The sequence below is a fragment of the Homo sapiens genome, chromosome 2 (assembly GCF_000001405.40).
Source record: "Homo sapiens chromosome 2, GRCh38.p14 Primary Assembly".
Taxonomy (NCBI): Eukaryota; Metazoa; Chordata; class Mammalia; order Primates; family Hominidae; genus Homo; species Homo sapiens.
The window spans coordinates 82388944-82398791 of NC_000002.12; the positions used below are offsets into that span (position 1 = coordinate 82388944).

Sequence of the window (9848 nt, forward strand, 5' to 3'; positions counted from 1 at the left end):
TCACACCTGTAATTCAAGGTACGTGGGAAGCTGAAATGAAAGGAACACTTGATCCTGGGAGTTTAAGACCAGCCTAGGCAACATAATAAGACCCTGTCTCAAAAAATAAAATAAAAAGAAATAGTATGATTCAAAGATGCAAGAACAAGTTCAAATGTCCCCTCTCTGTGAAGACTTTGTTAAAGCAGTAGAGAACCAGAACTATCTGCCCTCACATAGCTTGCTATGTTAATAAGTCTTTATTATTCCTTGTTTTCTTTAGTATAATTTTACTGCTCCAAGAGACTCTTGAATAAGAAAATAACTTGAAATATTTATAGGAATTTTCTGAAAGACTCAGCAACTCTTTAATAGGAAGATTCAGCAGACCTCCCAATGCTATGTACCTCTTGGCCTCAGAAGTTTGTCTTGTTCTCCCAAATCATAAACTGCTAAATTATGATACTTCCCAAACCTAACCAACTCTCACAATAAAACACTTACCTTAAACTAGACTTCAAAAATGAATAATTTCTGGAGAGCTAATGTTTCATATGGTGACTATAGTTAAGAATACTCTATTATATATTTGAAATTTGCTAAGAGGTAGATCTTAAGTGGTCATATCGCATGAAAAAAAGAAATAAAATTCAGAAAATATGTCAGTTGGTGGATATGTTAGTAGATTGTGGTGATCATTTTCTAATGTATATGTATGTTGAAACATGAAGTTATATACCTTAAATATATGCAATTTATATATGTTAATTATAAGTCAATAAAGCTGAAAAAACTCAATAAATCTCACCTTGTCTTTTCCCTTTGGAAACACTATAAAACCTCTGCTGAGGTGCAGAGGCAGTATTCCCCCTCACTAATGTAAGCAATAAATTATGCCGTCTTATTTATATGCAGTACCAGTGATACCTGGAAAGCAAGCATTCCTAACAGAGTTTGGGTAGTCTTCAATTCTAAAGTTGTAAATTTAGAGAAAATATATATTAGAGATATGAAATAATTAATATGGAAACACGCTTAAGTAAATGGAGTAGAAATAAAATATAAATAAATATAAGTAGAAATGAAATATTTGTATTAATTCATACCAGGTTACTCATTGATTTTAAAATGCTTTTCACAGTAACTGACAGATTCTTTGAAATCAGATATTTATTTGTAAGCTTCAAATCATTTTTATATAGACATCCTTTTCTCTGCAATAATCTGCCTCAAATATCAATGCAAGCTATGCTTATGGCAAAGATTTTCTACTGCCATTTATTGAAAATGTGAACAAAAGCCAGATGCCAGTTGGTATTTTCACTTCACTAAAGTTAAAGGCAGAGGGAAGTAGAGAAGGGAATAAGAAAAAGCTGTGAACATTTTGAACAAAATAATATTTAATTCTTATTGTATTCTGCCACAAAGATTTCTGAAAGAGTGGGAGGGAGTGAGAACAACCAAACACTGCTCATAATCATGTGAATTCAGCATGTCTAGACTTTATGAAATTAGCAGTATTCCCCAATGTTATGCAAGATCTAAAGAACTCACACATCATGAAATTAAGCATAAGAAACAATGCAAACACAAAGGGAATTAAAATAAACTGCTAAACAATACAGCAAATGTTACAGAAATTCTGCCTAACATAGTCTAGGCTGTGACAGCCTTGAACCAGTATTTTAATGACCTCCCTAAACAGAAGAGTTTGTTATCAAAGCAGCTAATTATAATCAGAAGAATAAATTCCATGAAAAGGTATTAGACATGCAGTTCACATTTCTGACAAATTTGAAGTGATTTTTTCAGAAGCAGTTGGAAGAATGTAAAAGCTAGCTGCTTAGATTTTGTTGTTGTTGTTGGTAACAGCTTTACTGAGATATAATTCATATATTTAACATGTACAATTTGATGATTTTTATTATATTCATAGAGTTGTGCAACCATCACCACAAACAATTTTAAAATATTTGTATCACACTATAAAGAAACCTTTTATATTTTAGCCATCATCTTGCAACTCCAGTCCTCAGTCCAAAGCAACCACTCATCTACATTCTGTCATTATAGATTTGTGTATTCTGGATGTTTCATATAAGTGCAAGCATAAAATATATTTGCTCCTGGCTTATTTCCTTTAGCAGGTTTTCAGAGTTTCACCATGTTGTTGCATGGTTCAGTACTTCATTCATTTATAGTTGAATAATAATTCATTGTGTGGCTGTAACACATTTTGTGTAACAAAAAATGTATCACATCAGTTGGCAGTATTATGGATATTTTCTACCTTTTGGTTTATGAATACTATTTCTGAATACTATTCCTATGAACATTCATATATGATATTTGCATCTGCATACGTTTTTTAAGTTATATTTTTGTGTTTTACTGTTTATTAAAATATAACATGCACACATAAAAGTTTTATAAGTGCAGAGCCCTATGCATTTTCACAAACTGAGCACCCAGATTAAGAAATAGCAGTAAGTGCACCCTAAACACTTCCCTTTAGCTCTCTTCCAGTCATACGCCCCTATTCTCACTTCTGACAGCATGGCTTAGTTTTGTCTGTTCCCGTTTTTTTTGGTTTTGTTTTAGTTTGTTTTTGTTTTGTTTTTGGAGTTAGAGTTTCGCTCCCATTGCCCAGGCTGGAGTGCAATGACGCAATCTCTGCTCGCCGCAACCTCCACCTCCTGAGCTCAAGCAACGCTCCTGCCTCAGCCTCCTAAGCAGCTGGGATCACAGGCATGCACCACCATGCCTGGCTAATTTTGTATTTTTAGTAGACACAGGGTTTCTCTATGTTGGTCAGGCTGGTCTCAAACTCCCAACCTCAGGTGATCCTCCCGCCTCGGCCTCCCAAAGTGCTGGGATTACAGGCTTGAGCCACCTTGCCTGGCCAGTTCCTGAGTTTATTATTTTTTTAATAGAAATGATATAATATTGTATGTAGTCTTTTTCAGGCTTCTTCATTAAGTTTGGGAAACTAATCCATATTTTTACAAGTTGTAGTTTGTTCAATTTTATTGTATAAGCATCGCTTCTCTGAGTGTAACACAGAGACTCCTAGGGTTCCTGAAACATTTTCAGGGTGTTCACAAGGTCTAAACCATTTTCATTGTAACACTAAGATATTCTTCACCTTTCAGTCTTAATCTGTCATAAGCATACAGACGAGTTTTTCAGAGGTTATGTTAAGCGATGGTGCTCATGTGTTCCTGGTTTTCAAAACTTTTCAATTTTAATTTTCTGGGTGATAAATATTAATAGATATAACTCACATAAACAAAAGTTCCTTGGTTTCTGTAATAATTTTTAAGCATACAAAGAGGTATTGAGACTAAAAACCTTGAGAACCATTACTGTAATTGGGTGATTTTACCAACATTTATTTTTCAATTAAGTTGTTGATGGGCATTTGGGATTGTTTCCAATTTTTGGCTTTTATGAATACTGCTTCTAGGAACAGATCTATTGGAGAACATATGGACTCATTTCTATTGAGTATGTATACACCTACAAATGGGATTGATGACACATAGAGCACATATTTAGTTTATTTATTTATTTATTTATTTATTTGAGATGGAATCTCGCACTGTTGCGTGGGCTGGAGTGCAGTGACGTGATCTTGGCTCACTGCAACCTCTGCCTCCCGGGTTCAAGTGATTCTCCTGCCTCAGCCTCCCAAGTATCTGGGATTACAGGCACACGTCAGCACACCCAGCTATTTCTTTTTGTATTTTTAGTAGAGACGGGGTTTCACCATGTTGGCCAGGCTGGTCTCGAACTCCTGACTTAGTGATTCGCCTGCCTTAGCCTCCCAAAGTGCTGGGATTACAGGTGTGAGCCACTGCGCCTGGCCCATATTTAGTTTCTAGTAGATGACATCAAAAAGTTTAGGTTCCCTCTGGAGTATGCAGCATTCAATGTGCCCACTTGGAAACAGAGATTGGACCCTCAGCAAACACTGAACATGATAGTGCCTTGATCTTGGACATTCCAGCATCCAGAACTGTGAGTAATACATTTGCTTATAAATTTTGCTAAAAGGTTTCCAGAATGTGTGAACCAGTTTATCCTCCTGCAAGGAATTTATGGAAGTTTCAGTTGCTTTACATTTTCCCCAAATTTAGATATTGGTTACCATTATTTTTTAAGCTATTTTTTGATTGTATAGTGGTATTATATCATGGTTTTCATTTGCATTTCTCTGATGACAAGTGAAGTTGAGCACCTATGCATATTGATCATTTAAATAATAGTTTGTTAATTATTCAGCTATTCTTTTTTCAGGTTTACTGAGGTATAATTGATTAATACAAATTGCATGTACTTAAGATGATCAATGTGATGCTCTGAAATTGTGAAATGATCACCACAATCAAGCCAATTAATATATTAATCACCTCACGTAGTTACCGTGTGAGTATGGGGGAGGAAAGACCACTTAAGATCTAAATTCTTAGAAAATTTCAAGTACATGATAAAGTATTGTTAACTGTAGTCATCCTTCTGTACATTAGATTTCCAGAGTTAATTCATCTGGCAAAACTGAAATTTGTATGCTTTGACCAATATCTCCTCATTTCCACCTCCTCCAAGTCCCTGGCAATCACCATTCTACTCTCTGCTGTTGTGAGTTCAAATTTTTTTAGATTTCATATATCAGTGAGATTATGTAGTACTTGTCTTTAGCGCCTGATTATTTTACTTAGCCTGATGTCCTCCCAGTTCATCTATGTTGTTGCATATGGCAAGATTTCCACATTTTATTAATCTATTTACCCATCAATGGACACTTGGGTTGTTTCTAAACCTTGGCTATTTTGAAAACATACTGCTATGAACATGTGGGTACAGATATCTCTTCAAGATAGTAGTTTCATTTCCTTTGGATATATATTCAGAACCGGGATTCCTGGATCATGTAGTAGTTCTATTTTTTGAAGAGCCTCTATACCGTTTTCTATAAGGGCTGTACAAATTTACATTCCCATGAACAATATGTAAAGGTTACCTTTTCATCACATCCTCACAAACATTTGTTAACGTTTTGACATTTTGGTAAAAATAATTCTAATGGGTGTGATGTTATGTCTTGTTATGGTTTTGATGTGCATTACAGATGATTAGTGATATTGCACACATTTTCATATACCTGTTGGTCATTTGTGTGTCTTTTTTTGAGAAATGTGTATTCAGTTTCTTTGCCCCTATTTGAATTGGGTTATTTGTTTTCTTGCTGTTGAGTTTCTTATATATTTTGGATATTTAACTTCTTATGAAATGTATAAATTATCAATATTTCTCCCCTCATTTATGAAGTCTTTTCACTCTGTTGACTGTTTCTCTTGCACAGAAATTTTTTAGTTTACTGTAAAGCCATTTGTCTATTTCTGGTTTTGTTGCCTGTGTTTTGCAGGGTCATATCAGAAAAAGAATTTCACACACCAGTGACCTGGAGCTTGCCCCCTATTGCTTTCTTCCAGAAGTTTTACAGTTTCAGTTCTTACATTTAAGTGTTAAGTTCATTTTGAGCTGATCGTTTTTGTATATGGTGTGAGATACAGTTTTAATTTCATTCTTCTGAATGTAAATATCCTGGTCTCAACAAAATTTGTTGAAGAGACTGTTCTTGCCTCATTGTGTTATTACTACTTTTGTCAAAAATCAACTGACTATAAATGGTTGGTTTTATTTCTGGACTTTGTATTTTGCTCCTTTGGTCTATGTATCTATGTTTATGCCAGTGTAATGCATGAACACAACTGATTTTTGCATGTTGACTTTTGTCTTACAACTTTACTCAAATTGTCTATAAGTCTAAAAGATTTTTGTTGGAGTCTTCAGGGTTTATACTATCATATGCCAGTGTAACTCATGAACACAACTGATTTTTGCATGTTGACTTTTGTCTTACAACTTTACTCAAATTGTCTATAAGTCTAAAAGATTTTTGTTGGAGTCTTTAGAGTTTATAATATCATGTTTAGATTAGTATAAGTTTAGTAGGTTTTAAAAATAGGCAGTGTGATACTTTATGCTTTGCACTTTTTTGCTTAAGTTTGTTTTAACTATTCAGGATCTTCGTGTTTACATTGAATATTAGGATTGTTTTTCTATTTCTGTGAAAACGTCATTAGAATTTTTATAGTAATTACATTGAATCTGTAGATCACTCTGGGTTGTATGGGTATTTTAACACTATTAACTCTTCTAATTTATGAACACAGATATCTTCGTATTTATTACTGTCCTATTTAATTTCTTCAATGTTCTATAGTTTTTTGTCCATATATCTTGCTTTTCCTTGGTTAAATGAAATCTTAATTATTTTATTATTTTTGTAGCTTATGTAAACTCACTTATATTCTTGATTTTTTTTTGTTAATTTGTTGTTAGTGTATGGAAACACTACTGATTTTTATATGTTGATTTTGTACCTTGCAATTTTACTGAATTTTTTATTACTCAAAGTTTTTGTTGGAGCCTTTAGAGTTTATAAGTTCACATCATCTGCAAAGAAAGACAATTTAATTTCTTCCTTTCCAATTTGGATGCTTTCTATTTCTTTCTCTTCTCTAATCGCTCTGCCTAGGTTTTTTCATACCTTAGTGAATGGGAAGTGGCATTGTTGTCTGGGGTAATACCCGAGGCTCGTTTTCCCGGGCCAAGGAAATCAAAGATGCAGACACACAAAGATTAAGGTTAAGAGCGGAAGTTTAATAGGCGAAAGAAAGAGAAAAGCTCTTTCTTGTAGAGAGAGGGGTCCTGAACAGGTTTTCCGGTCCATGGTTATGCAAATGGACTCTCTACCCGGTCAGCACCATGTTGCCTGCTTCTTTACTGTACACGTGGTGACAGAGAAAAGGCAAGATGGACCTTCCTCATTGAACATAACTGGCTTCCAGGGTAGCCGTTTTCTATTGGCAAAGCTGCCAGCATTCATTCGTGCAAGCTTCCAACTTGCTTATCTATGTCTGCAGCTTCATTTTTCAGGCTGCTCTTTGTTAGAAAAGAAATGATTTTGGGCTGCTTTTTGTTAAAAGGAAAATTCTCCCAAGAACTCTGTTGCACTTACTATCTGCATAAATAATTTCTTTCTATCTCCTGTATCAAATATAAGTGGCAAGAGTGGTTATTCTTACATTGTTCCAGATCTCAGAGGAAAAATTTTCAACTTTATACCATTGAGTATTACATTAACTATGGGCTTCTAATATATGGCCTTTCTTGTATTGAGGAGCATTCCTTCTGTAACTAATTTTTTGAGAGTTTTTAATCATAAAATGATGATATATTTTGTCAAATGACTTTTTTTCTGTTTCTATTAATATGTTCATATGGTTACGTCCTTCATTATGTCAATGTAGTATATAATCTTTATAGATTTATAGACATTGAAGTATGCACCTCTGGGATAAATTTCTTCTGATCATGGTGAATTATTATCGTAATGTACAGTTGAATTTAGTTTGCTGGTGTTTTGTTGATAATTTTTACTTCTATGTTTATTAGGGATATTGGTTCCTCCTTTTTTTTCTCGTAGTGTTTTTATCTGGCTTTGGTAACAGAGTAATGCTGGCAGCAGTATACAGTTTGTTTGTTTGTTTGTTTTGAGAAGGAGTCTCGCGCTCTATCGCCCAGGCTGGAGTGCAGCGGCGCGATCTCAGCTCACTGCTAGCTCTGCCTTCCAGGTTCATGCCATTCTCCTGCCTCAGCCTCCCAAGTAGCTGGGACTACAGGCGCCCACTGACAGTATACTCTTTTCTTTAACTTTTTTTTTTAAATAGTTTAAGAATGACTAGTTTTCATTTTTAAAAAATGTCAGGTAGAATTCTGCAGTGAAGCCTTTAGTTCCTGGGCTTTTCTTTGATGGGAGAATTTTATTGCCAACTCAATCTGTTTACTCATCATTGGTCTCTTTAAGTTTTCTATTTCTTCATAATTCCGTCTTGGTACATTCCATGAGTCTAGCAATTTATTCATCTGTTCTAAGTTATCCAATTTTTAGCATATAATTGTTTATTGTGATCTCTTAGGATTCTTTGTTTCTGTAGTGTGAGTTATTTCTTCTTTTCTATTTTATTCATTTGAATTTTCTTCCTTTTTTCTTAGTCTAGCAAAATGTTTCTCAATTTTGTTTATCTTTTTAAAAAACTCAGTTTTGTTCATCTCTAGTATTTTTCCAGGCTCTGTTTCATTTATTCTGTTCTGATGTTTTTTATTTCCTTTTCTCTATTAACTTTGGGCTTTGTTTGTTCCGCGTTTTCTATTTCCTTTAGGTGAAATGTTTGGTAGTTTACTTAAGATGTATCTATCTTCCTTTCTTTTTGAATATAGATGTTCATTGCTATTAAACTCCTTTTTAAAACTGCTTTCCTGCATCCAGTATGTGTTGGCATGCTGTGTGTGTATTTTTAATTGTTTCAAGATATTTTTAAAATTTTCATTTTTAATTCCTTTTTTGATTTATTGATGGCTAAGGAGCATGTTAATTTCCACATATTTGTGAATTTCTTGGAGCTCCTCATGTTCCTCATTTCTATATTTATACCATTGCAGTCACACAACATACTTGATATAATTTAAATTTTCTTAAATTTGATAAGACTTTTATTATGGCCTCACATATTATCTATCCTGGATAATGTTTCATGTGTACTTGAGAACAAGGCATTTTTTGCTACTGTTAGATATTTCTTATATGTCTCCTGATTCCATTTGTACTATAGTTCACATCCAGTGTTAAAGTTTTCTACTGAGCTTCAACCCAAAGAAAACTTCACCAGGATGTAACCTAATCACTATCAAAAATTAAAGAGAAATAGATAATTTTGAAAACAGCAAGTGAAAAGCGGTTTATATTTGCTTTATTTATTCAGGTGCTGTGATGTAGGTGTATATGTAAGGCTGAGTATCACTTCTCTGAAAAGGTTTGGATTATAGTGTCTTGGATTTAAAATTTTGGTGGGGGGGTGGGGTTTAGAATATTCACTGTATACTTAACCACTGAGCATTCCTAATCCAAAAATCTGAAATCTAAAATGCTACAGTGAGATGGTCATGGTGGTGGTCATAAAGTTTCGAATTTAGAATCATTCAAAATTTTAGATTTTCAAGTTAGGATGTTTATTCTGTATTTCCAGTTGCTATATGTGATTGATGACTTGATAATTTTATCATTGTATAATAACCTGCTTTGTCTTTAATAGTTTTTGACTTAATTTCTGTTTTGTTTGGTATAATGTAGTTACTCATATAATTTTTTTGGTTTCCATTTGCATGGAATATACTTTTCTATCCCTTCAATTACTACTTTTCTAATTTTTAAAAATGGATACTTTCATGCGCGTCCATGTGAAGAGACCACCAAACAGGCTTTGTGTGAGCAACATGGCTGTTTATTTCACCTGGGTGCAGGCGGGCTGAGTCCGAAAAGAGAGTCAGCAAAGGGAGACAGGGGTGGGGCCGTTTTATAGGATTTGGGTAGGTAAAGGAGAATTACAGTCAAAGGGGAGTTGTTCTCTGGTGGGCAGAGTGGGGGTCACAAGGTACTCAGTGGGGGAGCTTTTGAGCCAGGATGAGCCAGGAGAAGGAATGTCACAAGGCAGTGTCATCAGTTAAGGCAGGAACAGGCCATTTTCACTTCTTTTGTGGTGGAATGTCATCAGTTAAGGCAGGAACCGGCCATCTGGATGTGTACGTGCAGGTCACAGGGGATATGATGGCTTAGCTCGGGCTCAGAGACCTGACAGATACATGATAGATATACATATTTTCATGATTCATGTGTTTATTTATTTATTTACATATTTATTTTGGAATCTTGCCCTGCTGCCCAGGCTGGAGTGCAGTGGTGC

At 34.5% G+C, this 9848-nt stretch overlaps 1 annotated feature.

Moving 5' to 3' along the window:
- Nucleotides 9324-9848: an enhancer, noted in NCBI's record as "OCT4-NANOG hESC enhancer chr2:82625391-82625915 (GRCh37/hg19 assembly coordinates)". NCBI's record gives its function as "activates a minimal SCP1, AML or CMV promoter by ChIP-STARR-seq in primed H9 embryonic stem cells {active_cell/tissue: H9 hESC(primed)}" and the evidence as "EXISTENCE:reporter gene assay evidence [ECO:0000049][PMID:30033119]".